The following is a 19,379-nucleotide window of genomic DNA, read 5'->3' on the forward strand; positions in this document are numbered from 1 at the left end:
ATCTGGTTTTAGAACATTTCTTAACTGTGGTCCAATGTTTCAAGGTTTCTTTTAAGTCACCTAGTCCGATAGGAATATCCACAACTAGAATAAAAAAAAGAAGCGAAGCTATTTGTTTTAACTTTGGTTTTATGCAATGGTCATGTAGAATGTTTCTATCACCTCAAAGAAACTGATACTCCTTAATAATCATTACCCATTCTGCTGAGCTTAACCCTTGATAACTACTAATTTACATTCTGCTTCTATACATATGCTTATTCTGGACATTTTATATAAATAGGATTATATAATTATATCTTTTTTGACTGGTTTCTTTTGTTTAGCATAGTGATTTTGAGGTTCGTCTATGAAACCTGTTGAAGCATCTGTCAGTATTTTGTTTTATTGGTGAATAGTATTCAATTGCATGGATATGCTGCATTTTCTTCATGCATTGATTAGTTCATGGACATTTAGGTTGTTTTAATCTTTTGGATATTATGAATAATACTGCTATGAGTATCTGTGTACAGGTCTTTGTGTGGATTTATGTTTTCACTTCTCTTGAGTGTATACCTACAAGTGGAATTGCTGGATGATGTGGTAACCCTGTGTTTGTTTGAGGAACTGCCAAACTAATTTCCATAGAGACAGAAATATTTTACACTTCCACGAGCAATATCCAAGGGCTCCAATTCCTCCATTTCTTGCCAACTTATTGTTATCTATCCTTTTTATTTTAGGCATTCTAGTGGGTGTGAAGTGGTATCTCATTGTGGCTTTGCATTAGATTTCCCTAATTGTTAATGATGTTGAGAATCTTTTCATGTGCCTCTTAGCCATTTCTGTATCTTCTTTGGGGAAAAAGACTGTTTAAATACTTTTCCCCCTTTCTAATTGGGTTATATTTTAATTATTGCTTGCTAAAAGTTCTTTATATATTCTAGATTCAAGTCCCTTTTAAGATACATGATTTGCAAATGTTTTCTCTTACTGTGTGTCTTCAACAATTTTTTGCAAAAGAAATGCCTTGCTTCAAAGAAAGCCTCTGAAGCCTCGGTATTATTTTCTCCACCCACAAAATCACTGTGATAAATAAATGGGGATATCAACATGTCTTTACCTGGTTGTATTTCATTTTTAAGCTCTTCTCTTTAGAGTTCCTTCCAGATCCCCAATTCAGTTACCTTTCTGGGGGGTCTTAGTTCTTCTTGACCTGTCTACAGCTTCTGATACCAAAGCTTTTTATCTCTGTCCTACCTTCTTTTCTGCCTTCCATCATTTCTTCCTTCTTTCCTTTCTTTCTTTTATAAAGGGGTATTTGTATTAGGCACTTACTAAATTTTAGAAGCCCAGCTATGGGCTGGAGATAAAGAAAAGAAATATGTGGTTTCTATTAAGAGATTTGTGCTCTAGTGAGAAGAAAGACTTTCATAATACACTAATAAATGTAAATTATAAATGTGATTAGTCCTATGAAGGAAATATATTGGATATTATATAAGAATGTTACAGGGGAAATTGCCTCACTCAAGGAAATTAAAAGTTCTTTCTCTGAGAAGGTGAAGACATACTTGAGATCTCAAGGATAAGCGGATATTACGTAGGATGAAGAGGGAAGAGCATATGAAAATGCTTATGATGAGAGGTAAAAAGGAACTTTTGAGGCAGGAGACAAAGCCATTGTGCTTGCAGCTTAGCAGACAAGAAGGGGAATGGAGCAAAATCATGCTGGGCACGTAGGTAAAGGCAAGAGCATACTGGGCTGAGAGTAATGTTAATAATGTTTGTCTGCATTTTAAGACCAATGGGAAGTATCTGAAGAGCTTTGGCCAGGTGTGGCAAAATGATAAGACTTGAATTCCTAAAAGATTGCTGTAAGTGCAGTATGAAAAATAAATTGCAGGTGGGCAATGGGGAATGTGAGGAGATGCATTGGGAAGCTATAGCAATAGCCCAAGTGAGAGATGTTGATAACTTGGATAAGCGGAATGGCAATGGAAGTGGAAATGTGCAAATGAGTTTGAGAGATACTTAGGAAGAAAAATTAGCAAGACTTGGTGATGGATTGATTACAAGAGATTAAGGGAGAAGGAGGTATCAAGAATGAATAATAACTGCACGGTTCTGCTGCTTCTATTTTTTTTGTTTGTTTGGTTTTTTTGTTTTTGAGATGGAGTCTCTCTCTGTCGCCTAGGCTGGAGTGTAGTGGTGTGATCCCAGCTCACTACAACCTCTGCCTCCTGGGTTCAAATGATTCTCGTGCCTCAGCTTCCTGAGTAGCTGAGATTACAAGAGTATGCCACCACACCTGGCTAATTTTTGTATTTTTAGTAGAGATGGGGTTTCACCATGTTGGCCAGGCTGGTCTCAAACTCCTGACCTCAAGTTATCCACCCACCTTGGCCTCCCAAAGTGTTGGGATTACAGGTGTGAACCATGGTTCTGCTTCTTCTGACATAGTTTGATAGTGGCTACCCTGGTTTGAATCTACCATCATATTAATATAATATTAGGCCATATACAACCTCCCTGTCCCCATTTATTCATTTAGAAAATAGGGATGACAATAATACTTAATTGATATGGATGATATAATGCACTTCAACAGTATCTGGCTCATATAGTATGAGCATAATAAATGTTACTCATGAAAAATTCAAATTATTATTGCTGTTTAGAAAAGAAGCAAAGGAGAAAAGTGACTAATTTCTGAAAAATTAAATACACTAGAGTCTTTTGGTTCCAACTCAGTTAGAGCAGTCCCAGTCCTTCTAGGTTCTTCCTCTTACAACTAAAAATCGCCTGGACATAACCCTACTCCAATCCTGTGGCAATAAAAAACTGCTTAGTAGAAGCAGTTGGTGCTGAGATTCCTCTACTGAAGTAAAGTCACTGGAGTTCAGCAGGGAGCTGAGCCACCACTTCCATGCAGAAACATGGAGACTCAATAAGGCAGTGCAAGGCAGGGCTATTTGGCCCTCACTTTCTCCCAAATCCATTGTTAGTGCAGCCCATCAGGGAACTGGAGCTCTACCTCCACCCAGCATTGACAAGGTGGTATAAGGTGGGGCTAACATTATACTTCGTGGTGAAAGACTGAATGCTTTTCTCCTAAATTTGGCAACAAAGCAGTGATGTCTGCACTTACCACTCTTGGGCAACATAGCACTGGAAGTTTTAGCCAAAACAATAAGGCAGCAAAAAGAAATAAGCTTGCAGATTGGAAAAGAACAAATCAAGCTGTATCTATTTACAGAAGGCATAATTTTCTATGTAGAAAATGTCAAGAAATTATAAAAATGTTGTAGAACTAATAAATGAGTTCATCAAAGTCTCAAGTTACAAGATCAATACAGAAAATTAATTTTATTCCTATATACTAGTAACTGATGTGTAGAAACTAGAATTAAGCACCTACTATCATATATAATTGCTCCAAAGTAAAATGAAATGCCTAAGAAAATGAAATATCTAGTTAAAAGTCTAACAAAACATTTATAGGATCTGTATGCTTAACATTTAAAAAAACACTAATGGAAGGAATAAAATATTATATAAGTAAATGGAGAGGCATACTGTATCCATGGATTAGATGACTCAATATAGTAAAGATGTCAATTCTCCATAAGTTGATCTGTAAAGTTTAACATAATTCCTAAAAAAATTCCAACAAGCTTAATCTGAAATTTGGGTAGAAGTGCAAAAGAACTAGAATAGCTAAAATAATTTTGAATTGAATAATTTTGAATTGAATATTAAGGATTTTTTTATAGATACTGTAATCAATTGAATCAATTGAATTGAATCGACTGAATCAATTGAATTGAATTGAATTGAATTGAATCAATTGAATCAATTGAATTGAATTTTGAATTGAAATTTGAATTGAATAATTTTGAATTGAATATTAAGGATTTCTTTATAGATACTATATTCAAGACAGCGTAGTATTGGCAGGGGAATAGACACAAAGATCAATAGAACAGAATAGAGACCCCAGAAACAGACAAATACAAATATAACAAATTGGTTTTGACAAAGTTATTAACACAATTCAATGGAGAAACAGCCTTTTGAACACATGGCACTGGAGTCACTGGGTGTGCATAGGCAAAAAAATTAATCCCAACCTAAACCTTATACCTTATCAAAAATTAACTCAAATGTATCATGGGTTTAAATGTAAAAATATAAAACTATTGGAAAAATTAGGAGAATATCTTTGGAACCTAAGGTTAGAGAAGAGTTCTTGGACATTACATTAAAAGCACTATATATAAACTAAGAAATGATTAATTCATTGTCATGAAAATTAAAACTTTTGCATTGTGAAAGACTGTGATAGAATGAAAATACAAACTGCAGGCTGTGAGAAAATATTGGCAAATCCCATATCCAATAAAGGCCTTATACAGGGTGAGTATCTTTTATCTGAAATTTCTGGACCAGAAGAGTTTCAGATTTCAGACTTTTTCAGAATTTGGAATATTTTCATTATCCTTATCTGTTGAACATCCTAAATCCAAAAATTTGAAATCCGAAATGCTCCAGGGAGCATACTTTGACAATCGTGTCAGCACTCAAAATGTTTTGAATTTTGGAGCAATTCAGATTTTCGATTTCCAGATTTAAAATGCTCAACCTATATGTAAATATGAAGAATTCTCAAAACTTAACAGTAAAAAATCAATCCAGTTATAAAATGGGCAAAAGACATGAACAAATATTTTATTAAAGTGTAGATACAGATGGCGAGTGAAGATATACTCAACACCATTGGCAGTTAGCACAATATAAATTAAAAACATAATGCATTATTTCTATACACCCATCAGAATAGCTAAAACAAAAAATAGTGACAACATCAGGTGTCAGTTAGGGTATGGAGAAACGATCATTCAGACATTGCTGATGAGAATGTAAAATTACAGCCATTCTAGAAAATCATTTGGTAGTTTTCTTGGAAACTAAACATGTTCTTACCAGATGACCCTGCAATCACACTTTCGGATATTTATCCTAGAAATGTAAAAATGTATGTTCACAAAATACTTGTACATTCTTTAAATGAGAAACTATAGATATGGAGAACAGGTTAGTGGTTGACAGTATTAGGGCGGGTGGGTGGGAAAGGTTGAGTGGGTGCAAATAAAAAGAGATTGTGTTGGTGGTTTTGTGAATTTTACATGAGATAATATTGCATAGAACTATACACATACATAATACATACATGCATAAATGAATATAAATTAAAATGGTATAAACTAAATTATATTTGTAGACTAGTTAACAGTAACATGCTAATGTCAATCTTCTGATTTTGATATTGTACTATAGGTATATAGGATGCTGATATGGTTTGGCTGTGTCCCCACCCAAATCTCATCTTGAATTGTCATTCCCATAATCTCCACATGTCGTGGGAGGGACCCAGTGTAAGGTAATTGAATCATGAGGGTGGTTATCTCTATGCTGTTCTCATGATAGTGAGTGCATTCTCATGAGATCTGATGGTTTTATAAAGGGCTATTTCCCCACCCTTTTCTCTCACTTCTCCTTGTGGCCACCATGTAAAGAAGGACATGTTTGCTTCTTCTTCTGCCATGATTATAAGTTTCCTGAGGCCTTCTCAGCCATACTGAACTGTGAGTAAATTAAACTTCTTTCCTTTATAAATTACCTAGTCCCAGCTAGTTCTTTATTAGCAGTGTGAGACTGAACTAATCCAGTAAATTGGTGTAGAGAGTGAGGTGCTGGTATAAGGATACCCAAAAATGTGGAAGTGACTTTGGAACTGGGTAACAGGCAGAGATTGGAACAGTTTAGAGGGCTTAGAAGAAGATTGGAAACTATGGGAAAGTTTGGAACTTCCTAGAGACTTGTTGAATGACTTTGACCAAATGCTGATAGTGATATAGAAAATGAAGTCCAGGTTGAGGTGGTCTCAGATGGAAATTAGGAACTGGTTGGCAGCTGGAGTAAAGGTGATTCTTGTAATGCTTCAGCAAAGAGACTGGCAGCATTTTGCCTCTGCCCTAGAGATCTTTGGAACTTTGAACTTGAGAGAGATGATTTAGGGTGATTTGTGGAAGGAATTTCTAAGTAGCAAAGCATTCAAGAGAAAGCAGAGCATGAAAGTTTGGATAATTTGCAGCCTGACAATGTAATAGAAAAGAAAACTGACTTTCTGGGGAGAAATTCAAGCCCACTGCAGAAATTTGCATAAGTAATAAGGGGCTGAGTGTTAATCACCAAGGCAATGGGAAAAATGTCTCCAGGGCATGTCAGAGACTTTCATTGCAACCCCTCCTATCACAGAGCCAGAGGCCTAGGAGGGAAAAATGGTTTCCTGGGCCAGGTCCAGGGCCTCCCCTCTGTGTACAGCCTCAGGACTTTGTTCCTGATGCTCCAACTATGGCTAAAAGAGGCCAGGGTACAGCTTTTCCCATTACTTCTGAGGGTGCAAGCCCCTAAATTTGACAGCTTCCATGTAGTGTTAAGCCTGTAGGTGCACAGAAGTCAAGAATTGAGGTTTGGGAACCTCCACCTAGATTTCAGAGGATATATGGAAATGCTTGGTTGTCCAGGCAGAAGTCTGCTGCAGAGGCAGAGGCCTCATGGAGAATCTCTGCTAGGGAAGTGCAGAAGGGAAATGTGGGGTTGGAGCCCCCACACGGAGTCCTCACTGGGGTACTGCTTAGTGGAGCTATGAGAAGTGGGCCACCATCCTTCAGATCCCAGAATGGTAGATCCACTGACAGCTTGCACTGTGTGCCTGGAAAAGTTGCAGACACCCAAAACCAGCTCATGAAAGCAGCTGGGAGAGGGTGCTGTACCTTGCAAAGCCACAGGGCTGGAGCTGCTCAACACCATGGCAGCCCACCTCTTGCATCAGCATGCCCTGGATGTGAGACATGGAGTCAAGGGACATCATTTTGGAACTTAAAGGTTTTAATGACTGCCCTATTGGATTTTGGACTTGCATGGAAACTGTGGCCCCTTTGTTTTGGCCAATTTCTTTCATTTGGAGCACGTATATTTGCCCAATGCCTGTACCCCCATTGTATCTAAGAAATAAATAACTTGCTTTTGATTTTGCAGGCTTATAGGCAGAAGGGACTTGCCTTGTCTCAGATGATACCTTGGACTTTGGGTTTTGGGTTAGTGCTAGAATGAGTTAGGACTTTGGGGGACTGTTGGCAAGGCATGATTGTATTTTGAAATGAGAAGGCATGAGATTTGGGAGAAGTCAGGAGCAGAATGATATGGTTTGGCTGTTTTCCCACCCAAATCTCACCCTGAATTGTAGTTCCCATAATGCCTATGTGTTGTAGGAGGGACCCAGTGGGAAGTAATTTAGTCATGAGGGTAGTTACCTCCATGCTGCTCTTGTGATAGTGAGTGAGTTCCCACGAGATCTGATGGTTTCATAAGGGGCTATTCCCCCCTCCTTCACCCTGTACTTCTTACAACCACCATATAAAGAAGGACATGTTTGCTTCCCCTTCTCCATGACTGTAAGTTTCCTGAGGCCTCCTGAGCCACGTTTAACTGTGAGTCAATAAAACTACTTTACTTTATCAATTATGCAGTCTGAGATATGTCTTTATCAGCAGTGTGAGAACGAGATAATACATTGGGGAAAGGTAGGCAAAGGGTACATTGGGGGAAGCTAGGGGAAAGGTACATTGTGGGAAGCTGAGTGAAAGGTACATTGGGGGAAGCTGGGTGAAGGGTACATAGGAGTCTTCTTTCTTCTTTTGCAACTTCCTGTGAATCTGTAATTTTTTTAAGTAAAAAATTACCTACACTGTGGCCAACATTGTAGCAATTCTTTTGGATGACATAGTAAAGTGGACTTTTAGAAAGACTGTAGGAGATGGAATGAGGAGAGGGTAGTTTGAGTTTCAGAAGTACAACCTATTATTGATATTTATGTGCTTATAGGAAAAGTGCCTTACATGCTTCAACTCCTAATTTCTTCATCTATAAAATGTTACTGATAGATAAAATCTGCTTGTCATGTCCTAGTCCAGTCATTGTTACAATTTTTTAAGATATGTAAAAGGTTACTTTGAACAAAATAAAGCCACAAGCCAGCAGACCCCCAAACGTGGGGCATTTGTAGCCACAGTAGAAATGTTTGTCAGGTAGTCGTTTGGGTCCTGATTGGTTTACTAAGGACAGCAATGTGTCAATTGATCATGGCTACTGACGCCAGAGTCACTGTTACAGGGTTGGATTTATTAGAGCCTTCCTGAGACTTTCCATGGACAGGAAATGAGAAGGAAGAAGAAAGGAACTATGTGATAATGACTGTTTAATTAGTGCTTGAATATTAGTTAAAGTATTGTTATGATCATTATTATTATAATCAGTGAAGAAATAGCTTGGTGTGACAATCATCATTTTTTGTCCTGATAAGTTGGATATTTCAAATATACTATAGCCAAACTTAGGTTATACATCCATCCTAAATGTGTATTTTTCACCTTTCTAATCCATAGTCTTATTTCCTGGGGACTATAATTGATTCTAAGCAAATATTTCTTTGGACCTGCAAAGAGGCATTCTAATTTAATTTGCTTCAAATGCCTATCTGTTCACAACCATTCTGCCTGAACTATTAGCTGTAAAAGAAAGAGAAAGATTTCTCGATCAATTTTTAAATTTTTTTAAAAATTGACATGTAGTAAGTGTACATATTTATAAGATACAGAATGACATTTAAATACATGAATACAATGAGTAATGATCAAATCAGAGTAATTAGCTTACCCATCACCTCAAATATTTATCATTTCTTTGTGTTAGGAAAATTCAAAATTCTATTTTCCAGTATTTAAAAATATGCAATAAGTTACCCCAGGGGTAACCATAATTACCCTACAGTGTTATAGAACACTACAACTTATTCTTTAGCTATAATTTTCTGTCTCCTAATCAACCTCTCTGTATCCTCCTCTATCTACTATCTTTTCCAGCTTCTCATAACCACAAGTCTACACTATACTTTTGTGAACTCAAATTTTTAAAGTCCCAAGTATGAGTGAGAATACATGGTATTCATCTTTCTGTGCATGACTTATTTTATGTAACATAATGTCTTCAAAGCTCATCGATGTTGCCACTAATGGCAGGATTTTATTCTTTTTATTACTTTGTAGTATTCCATTGTGTATACATGACACATTTTGAATCCATTCTTGTATTGATGGACACTTAGGTTGATTCCGTATGTTGGCTATTGTGAATAATGCTGCAGTAAATATGGGGGTGCAAATATCTCTTCAATATATAGATTTTTATTCCTTTAGATAAACACAGTAGTGAGATTGCTGGATCACACAGTGGTTCTATTTTTAGTTTAAGAAACACCCATACTGTTTTTGATAAGGGTTGTACTAATTTATATTCCACCAACATTGTATGAGTTCTCTTTTCTCTCCGTCCGCACTGGCATCTGTTAGTGCCTATCTTTTCGATATAGGCCATTTTAACTGGGGTGAGATAATATCTCACTGTACTTTTGATTTTCATTTCCTTGATGATTAATGATGTTGAGCATTTTAAAAATATCTTTGTTGTCCATATTGCTGCCTGCTTTTAAAAAGTGAGTGTTCAGATTATTTGCCAATTTTTATTTTGGGTTATTTGCTTTTGTGCTGTTAAATTATTTGAGTTCCTTGTATATTCTGGATATTAATCCCTTGTCACATGATAGCTTGAAAACCTATTGCCCCATTTCGTAGGTTGTCTCTATACTCTGTTGTTTCTTTCCCTGTGCAGAAGCACTTTAGTTTAATATAATTCCACTCACCTATTTTTAGTTTTGTTGCCTGTACTTTTGAAGTCTTACCCTAAAATCTCTGCCCATATCAATGTCCTAAAGCATTTTCCCTATGTTTTCTTCTAGTAGTTTTATTAATTTAGGTCTCACATTTAAATATTTAATCTACTTTGAGTTGATTTTTGTATATAGTGAGAAATAGGGGTCTAATTTCATTTTTCTGCATTATGAATATCCAGTTTTCCCAGCATCATTTAAGGAAGAGGTTGTCCTTTCTCCAATGTAAGTTGCTGGCACTTTTGTCAAAAATCAGTTGGCTGTTTTATTAGTCTGCTCTCACATTGCTATTAAGAACTACCTGAGACTGGTAATTTATAAAGAAAAGAGGTTTCATTGACTCTCAGTTCTGCAGGCTGTACAGGAAGCATGGCTTCAGAAACCTTAGGAAACTTATGGTCATAGTGGAAGGTGAAGAGATGGAGGCACAACTTGCAAGACAGGAACAGGAGGAAGAGAGCAAAGAGGAGGTGCTACACACTTTTAAACAACCAGATGTCATGAGAACTCACTATCATGAGAACAGCAATTGGGAAATCTGTCCCCATGATTGAGTCACCTCCCACCAGGTTCTGCCTCCAACACTGAGGTTTACAATTCGACATGAGGTTTGGGCAGGGACACAAATCCAAGCCATATCAGCTGTAAATACATGAATTTATTATTGGGTTCTCTATTATGTTCAATCGGCCTGGGTATCTGTTTTTATGCCAGTATCATGCTGTTTTGGTTACCATAGCTTTGTAGTATATTTTGAAGTCAGGTAGTGTGATGTCTTCAGCTTTATCATTTTTGCTCAGTTCTGCTTTTTGGCTATTTGGGATCTTTTATGGTTCCTCAAGTTTTAGGCTTTTTTTCTATTTCTGTGAAGAATTTCATTGATATTGATATCAACATGTCATTAATAGCTATTGCATTGAATCTGTAGATCACTTTGAAGAGTATGGTTTGTTTAACAATATTAATTCTTTCAATTCATGAACATGGAATAGTTTTACATTTTTGTGTGTCCTCTTTAGTTTCTTTTATCAATGTTTTGTAGTCTTTATTATAGAGATCTCTCACCTCCTTGGTTAAATTTATTCCTAGGTGTTTTTTTTGTAGCTATTGTAAATGCATTTGCATTCTTGATTTCTTTTTCAGCTAGTTTGTTGCTGATGTATAGAAATGTACCCATTTTTATGTGTTAATTTTGTATCCTGCAACTTTACTGAATTTGTTTATTAGTTCTGAGATTTCTTTTTGGTGGAGCTTTTGGGTTTTTCAATATATAATATTATATCGTCTGCAAAGAGGGCAATTTGACTTCCTTTTTTCCTATGTGGATTCCCTTTATTTATTTCCCTTGTCTAATTGCTCTGGCCAGAACTTTGAGTACTATGTTGACTAGCAGTGCTAAAAGTTGTTATCTTTGTCTTGTTCTAGTTCTTAGGGAAAATATATTTTGGCTTTTTCTGATTCAGTATGATGTCAGCTATGGGCTTGCCTATATGGTCTTTATTGTGTCTGGGTATGCTGATTCTATGCCTAATTCATTGAGAGTTTTTATCATGAAGTGATGTTGAATTTTACCAAATGCTTTCTCTGCATCTATTGAGATGATAATATGGTTTTTGTCCATTCTGTTGATTGGACAATGTTGTGATTTATGTCTCACATTTATTGATTTGAGTATGTTGAAGCATCCTTGCATCTCCAAGGTAATTACTACTTGATCATGGTGTATAATCTTTGTGTTGTACTGTTGTATTCAGTTTGCTAGTATTTGGTCGAGGATTTTTGCATCTGTATTAATCAGGGATATTGGCCTTTAATTTGCTTTCTTTGTAATGTTTTTGTCTGATTTTAGTATCAGGGTAATACTGGACTTGTACAATAAGTTAGGAAGAATTACCACCTCTTCAGTTTTTGTAATAATTTAGAAGAATTGGTAGTTAATTATTTTCTAAAAGTTTGATAGAATTCATCAGTGAAGGCATCCATTCCCAGGGTTTTCTTTGCTGGGAGATTTTTTTGTTACTGTTTCAATCTCTTTACTTGTTATTGGTCTGTCCAGTTTTCCTATTTCTTTCTGCTTTAAAATTGATAGGTTACCTGTGTCCAGAAATTCATCTATTTGCTCTAGGTTTTCCAGTTTGTTGGCATATAGCTATCATAATAGTGTCTAATGATTTTTTTGTTGTTGTTCAGGCAAGGTCTCACTCTGTTGCCCAGGGTGGAGTGAAGTGGCATGATCAGGGCTCACTGCAGCCTTGACCTCCCAGGCTCAAGAAATCCTCCCACCTCAGCCTCCCGAGTAGTTGGAACTGCTGGTGTGGGCCACCATACCTGGATAATTTTTGTAGTTTTTATAGAGGTGGTATTTCACCATGTTTCTCAGGCTGGTCTCTAACTCCTGGGCTCAAGCAATCTGCCTGCCTCAGAACTCCCAAAGTGCTGGGATTACAGACATCAACCACTGTATCCGGCCTAGTTGAATGATTCTTTATATTTCTGTAGTATTAGTTGTAATGTCTCTCATTTTCAGTTTCTTGATTTTATTTACCTAGGTCTTTTCTTATTTTTCCTTAGTCTAGCGAAAGGTTTGTTGATTTTGTTTATCTTTTCAAAAAACAAGCTTTTTGTTTCTTTGATCTTTTGTATTTTGTTTGTTTGTTTTGTTTTTGTTTGTTTTTTGAGAGAGTCTTGCTCTGTCGCCGAGGCTGGATGGCAGTGGTGCGATCTTGGCTCACTGCAAGCTCTGCCTCCCAGGTTCACACCATTCTCCTGCCTCAGCCTCCCGAGTAGCTGGGACTACAGGCACCTGCCACCACACCTGGCTAATTTTTTGTATTTTTTTGTATTTTTTTTTTTTAGTAGAGACGGGGTTTCACCATGTTAGCCAGGATGGTCTCGATCTCCTGACCTCATGATCTGCCTGCCTCGGCCTCCCAAAGTGCTGGGATTACAGGCGTGAGCCACCACACCTGGCTGATCTTTTGTATTGTTTAAGTCTCCATTCAGTTTAGTTCTGCTCTGATCTTTATTATTTCTTTCCTTCTACTAATTTTGGGTTTGGTTGGCTCTTGCTTTTGAAATCACTTGAGGTGCATCATTAGATTGCTTATTTGAAATCTTTCTATTATTTTTATGTCAGCTTTTATTGCTATAAACTTGCCTTTTAATACTGGTTTTACTTTGCCCCAGAGGTTTTGGTATATTGTGTTTCTGTTTTCCTTTGTTTCAAGAATTTTTATGATTTCCATCTTAATTTCTTCATTGACCCAGTGGTCATTCAGGAACCACTGGGTTCCTGAAACTTGTTTATATTCCATGTTTTTATATAATTTTCAAAGTTCCTCTTGGTATTGATTTCTAGTTTTGTTCCATTGTGGTCTGTGAAGAAACTTGATATGATTTTAATTTTTGGAAATTTGTTTAGACTCTTGTGATCTAACATATGTTCTATCCTAGAGAATGTTCTATGTGCTGATGAGAAGAATGTATGCTTTGTCGTTGGATATATTGTTCTGGAAATGTCTTTTATGTCTATTTGGCCTAAAGTCCAGTTCAAATCCAATCTTTTTTTGTTGATGTTCTGTCTAGATGATCTATCTAATGCTGAGAGTGGGTTGTTCAAGCCCCCTATCATTATTGTATTGGAATCTCTTCTCTCTCTCTCTCTCTTTCTCTTTCTCTCTTCAGATGTAGTAACATTTGCTTTATGAATTTGGGTCCTCCAGTGCTGGATGCATGTGTATTTACAATTGTTATATATACTTGCTGAATTGATTCCCTTATCATTATATAATGAGATTCTTTGTCTTTCTTTTTTCTTTTTTTTACTTAATATCTATTTCTTCTGATATAAACATAGCTACTTCTGCTCACTTTTGATATCTATTTGTGTGGAATATATTTTTTATCCCTTTACTTTTAGATGGTGTGTGTTTTTACAGGCAATATTAGTTTCTTATGAACTTCAGGTAGTTGGGTCTTACAAAAAATCCATTCAGCCCGTCCATATATTTTAACTGGGAAATCAAAACCATTAATATTTGAGGTTTATATTGATAGATGAGTACTTACTCCTCTTATTTTGTTAATTGTTTTCTGGTTGTTTTTTATACCCTTTGCTCCTTTCTTCTTCTCTTATTGTTTATTTTTGTGGTTTGGTGGTTTTCTGTAATAGTAATGTGTGATCCCATTCTCTTTGTATTTGTTTATCTGCTCTACCAGTGAGTTATACATGAGTACTACTTTCATGAAAGTATATGACTCAAAAAATATATATTGCCCTACACTTCCTGATGTAGGACTTTGTTAAGCTTTTCTCGTAGATCAGGTCTACTGGTGATGAATTTCTTCAGTTTTTGCTTGTCTGAGATAGACTTTGTTTCTCCATCATTTCTGAAGGTTAGTTTTTCTGTGTATAGGTTTCTTTGGTGGCATTTGTTTTTTCTTTCATCACTTTAAATGTATCATACCATTCTTTCCTGGCCTGCAGGTTTCTGCTGGAAAATCTGCTGTTAGTCTGATGGCATATCCTTATATGTGATTTGATGTTTTCCTCTCAGTTTTTAGCATTCCGTCTTTATCTTTGCCTTTTGAAAGTTTGACTATAATGTGCCTTGGCAAGGACCTTCTTGGGTTACATTTATTTGGGGGCTTTTAGCTTTCTAAATCTGGATGGTCATATCTCTCCTAAGTATTGGGAAGTTTTTAGCTAATATTTTTATTTTATTATTATTATTTTTTGAGGCAAGGTCTCTGTCTATCGCCCAAGCTGGAGTGCAGTGGCATGAACATGGTTCCCTGCAACCTTGACCTCCTGGGCTCAAGTGATCCTCCTGTGAAGTTATGACCACAGTTGTATGCCACCATACCCAGATTTTTTTTTTTTTTGGTAGATATGGCACATCACCATCTTCCTCACTCTGGTCTCAAACTCCAAGCTATCCTCCTGTCTCAGCCTCCCAAAGTGCTGGGATTATAGGTATGTGCCACCATGCCCAGCCTATGGCTATTTTTTAAAAATAGGTTTTCTATGCCATTTCCCATCTTTTCTTCTTAGAACTTCCAAAATTCACATATTTGTTTACTTAATGGTGGCCCATATGTCCTTTTAGGCTTAATTTATTCTTTTAAAATGTCTTCTTATTTTTGTCTGACTGAGTTTCTTCAAAAGAGCTGTCTTCAAGTTTAGAAATTATTCTGCTTGAACTAGCCTATTATTGACATTCTCAATTAAAGTTTTATTTCATTCATTGAATTGTTCTCTTTCAAGATTTCTTTTGAAGCAAGGTTTTATTTTGCAATATCTATCTCTTTGTTGAATTTCTCATTCAGATCAGGCACTGTTTTTCTGATTTTGTTGAAATGTCTGTGTTCTCTTGTTTCTTGCTGAATCTCCTTAAGATCATTATTTTGAATTCATTTTCAGTCATTTCATAGACTTCATTTGCTTTTGTGTGTTGGCTCCCTCTGTCCTGGGGTAAGCCTCTTTGCTGTGCTGAATTGCCTGTCCCATGGGATATAGGGTGCTACACAGGCTCAGATGCTATGGTAATGGTATCATTTCTGTGTCCATCTCATGTCACGATGCTGCAACCTTCTGGGTGTATGTGGTGGGATGGCAGCAGGACCCCAGGAATATGGACATGCAGGGACTACTGGATCCTATGAATGGATACATTCTGGTGGCAGCTCTGCTCTTAAAATGGTATTGTGCTTCAGCATCCTGGATCCAGGGGAGTGCAAAGGACTCAGTGTGTTTTCCCTCTCAGGAAATATGAAGTTGCTTGGACTCCAAATGCTCCCTATGCTGGGATCAGGGCCTGTAAGGGCTGTGAGGCTCTTCTGTACCTAGAATTGTTGGTGTCCATGGTGAGAATATGGCTGCTGGCAATCTCCCACTTTCTTTTTTCCCACAATGGGAGTTCCTCTTGGCTTGAAACAAATTGATACCGGGTGCTTTGCTTTTCTCTCTGTAATGCCTTTTTAAGTTTCTGTACCCTAAAAGGTCTTCATAACTTCTCTACTGAATCCCAGTATTCTTCCTTAAATACTCTGTTTGATTTGTGGTTATCTACTGGTTGTTGTGGTCCTTTGTCAGGGAGGTGAGTGCTGGACACCTCTATTTAATCATCTTGATAACATCTGTCTCAATTCAGTTGTAACCACCATCCTATGATTAAGTCTGCCCACAAGTAATTGTCGCAGCAATATTAGTAGAATTAGTAGTAGTAGTAGTAATAGTAGCAGCAGCAGCAATGACAATCAAATACCTAACACTTGTGGAGCACTTACCAGCTGTAACATGCTGTCATAAATTTTCTACCTATATTAATTAATTTAATTCTCAAAACAATCCCAAGTGATAGGTTCTATCATTGTCCACATTTTACAATGAGGAATCTAAGACAGAGAGGTTGGGTAACTTACTTAAGTAGACATACCTTGCAATTGGCAAACCAGGATCTTCTAAACTAGGCCGGTGACTTTGGAGTTCATACTCTTAACCTCTATGCCAGTCCGTCTTTCGCAATCACTTGTCATATCTTTTGCAGCATCCTTGGCAACTGGAAAGGAATGTGATATTTATAGAAGAAAATGGTATTTTCTTTGGCTGTCTCTATTAAACACAGTTTTGAAGGTGCTGGTCATTTTGAAAACTTGGGCATGACTAAAGAAAATGAAATGTGGAAGTTCTATGGCCTTTGTTCTTTGGGAATAGGTCATCTATTCTCAGTAAGTATGTAGGAGATCCCAGTAGGAATTGGGGGCAAAAATACAGGAAGACAGTTCGTTGTTGGCATTATGATATCATTTCCACATTTCATGGTTTAGTTTCAGCCACATCCAAATTAACTTGCAACTGCTCAGTAGTGACATGTTTGTTCATCTAATGTCTACATTCACAATCTGAGTTTCTCTACTTACCAGTTCTATGATCTTAGGAAAGTTATATAAAGTACTGTTGTCTAAGTTTCTTCATTGTAAAATGAGCAAACTTACTTCATTTAATTGCTGGGAGAATTAAATGGTATAATATGCCTAAAATATTGACTTCAGTGCTTGGCATTCTCTAGGTTCAATAACATTATGGAAGATATTAATAGATAAAGTGAAGGTTGTGGAAAATATGCTACAATTCCTCTCCTCAAAGTCAATTATGGCATTAATGACAAAATTTGCAAATATCATCACAATATATTATGATATCATTGCCTCCAAAGAGGTAAAGATATTAAATTTTATAAAAGTTCTAAGATAGATGAAATTCATGGTCTAGAGAAAAAGTGTGTAAGCCTTCATGAACATGGTAAGAGTATGGGTTTGAAGTGGTGTCTGAAGCCAGGCAAAGGCAGATAAACCAACTACATTGTGAGAGAGTATTGTGGGTCAACGAAACAACATGAAAAACTAGAGAGGTAGAAACAAACTCGTACATTTGTAGGACAGCAAAGATGCCACCTCATTAGAGAAAAAGATTTACTTCAAGAATATTGGAAGATAAGACCTGGTAGGGAAGGATAGACCAGGCTTTTGGAATGCTGCACAGAACCATACCTTTCTCCATACTTAAGTCTGCGTGAGCAACTCTAATTGAGAAACCTTGATCATTTGTGAAAGATTATTTAAAATATTACCTTTTGCAAGAGGACTTTTCTCTTCTCTCCATTAGAAGGAATTTCTTCCCTCCAATGAACTCTCAGTCTAGCTTATCTTTATTCCTCTTATCTAGCATGACCACACATGCTAGTTTGCCTGGGTCATTCTGAGTTATGCTTGTTATCCCAGTGTAATTATTAGTAGAGCACCCTTTCATTCTAAAATATGTTCCTTTTGTATGATAAAATAAAAGGTCAACTACTTATAACTCTTATCACTTATCTTCTGTGTTCCGGTTAGTTACCCCTATTAAAACGTTCAGGCTAGCAAAGACCATTATCTACTCATCTTTGTATTCCCAGTACAGAACATAATAATTATTTATTAAATGAATTTAAAGAAGGAGGCTGAAAACTCTTGGAGTATAAGTCTGAATCCTTAGACTTTTTTATGTTTCTAACCTTGTCTGCTATTGCACCTGCAAATACTAGGTACTTGATAGGTTTGTAAATTCGAGTGGACATGCACAAGGGTATACTGTTTCTGGAGTGTGCCGGAGATGACTTAAGCACAGACTTGAAGTGTGTCCTCAGAAATCTTATCTTCTTTTCTCACCGTTTGCTAACCTGTGCACATTTCTTGCTGACAGTTTGGGTTGGTCTTAAGGCCTAAATAAAAATTTTATTTGGAAAATTCAACTATTAAATCAACAATCAGATGCATGTGTGTGCCCTACCTCTGTTGTGTGTGTGTGATGAAAACAGTCCTATTTTGTAGGATTTAACCTTTCTCATTACTGGGTCCCCATTAGGAAATTTAAAATAAAAATAAATGAAGATTGATGGTTTTTCAAATGATTGGTACATTGGTTGAATAATTCACTTAACAAACTATATTGAATTTTTTGTTTTGTTCCAATTAGTGTTATTTCCTTGAGGTTTCTAACTGGAATTTCTATTCTTGTTTTATAACTATTTATGATTTGAATGGCCCTACTGGATTTTTCTTCTTAAAATTTGTGAGAAGTTATGCTAGCAGATGTTAAAAAGGAATAAAGGATATAAACTTTGCCATATTGTTTAGTTATAGAGGAGTCATTTGGGTAACTCCGTTAACTTGCTGAGTGTGAGAGGAAATTATAGTTATCTATGAAACCTTAGTTTCTAACTTGGAATCTTTTCATCTGTTTTCTAGGGTTAGATCGGTTTCCCTCCATGTCCTGTGGGTCAAGGATGCCACAGCTATCTGAATATATATAACCCATATCACTACATGGCAGGCAGATACGCAGAGGTTAGATTCTGAACCCTATGAAAGTGGGCTATATGGAAAATTAAACTGCTGAAGGCCCTTAAACAGAGGCCTCAGAGTAAATCCTTTTCCTACTCTCAGCACAATCCTGTGCTCGCCAGCCTTCCCTGTGACCAGTGGTACTCCTTCAAAAATTTTTTTGGGAAATTCTCCTTTGCTAGGCTATATTCACCAGCCTTTCTCTGCAGTTTTATCCTCTTTGTTCTAAAGAAGCCATGCAATCTCTCATATAGGTTTGTTTCTTTTCCCCTCTCCCCTCCCCTCCCCTCTCCTTCCCTCCCCTCCCACCCCTCCTTCCCTCCCCTCCCTCCCCTCCCCTGCCCTCCCCTCCTTTCCTCTCCTCTTTTTTGTAACCTGAGGGGAAGGTTTCCAATTGTGGATGTTTTTCAGCATTGTGGACATTTTAGGCTGGCTAGTTCTTTGTTGTTTTGAGCTCTTCTGCACATTGTACAATGCTTAGCAGCATTCCTGGCCTTTATTCCCTAGATTTCAGTATCACTTCCTGTTCCCAATCATGGCAACCAAAAACACCCTCTGACATATCAAATGTTTGCAGGATGAGGCAGTGCAAAATTCCCCCTACTAAGAACCATTACCTTGGAATCTCTGTGAAAACCTTTTTAGAAGGTGGAAGAAACAACGG

General features: G+C 36.9%; 1 protein-coding gene across 4 annotated transcripts in view; it reads left to right on the forward strand.

The window, feature by feature from the left end:
• Nucleotides 1–19,379, forward strand: part of NELL1 (neural EGFL like 1) — a 906,136-nt gene that overhangs the window by 540,141 nt on the left and 346,616 nt on the right. The gene's annotated exons all lie outside the window — the stretch shown is intronic.

Source organism: Homo sapiens, chromosome 11, assembly GCF_000001405.40.
Source record: "Homo sapiens chromosome 11, GRCh38.p14 Primary Assembly".
In the NCBI taxonomy this organism is placed as follows: domain Eukaryota; kingdom Metazoa; phylum Chordata; class Mammalia; order Primates; family Hominidae; genus Homo; species Homo sapiens.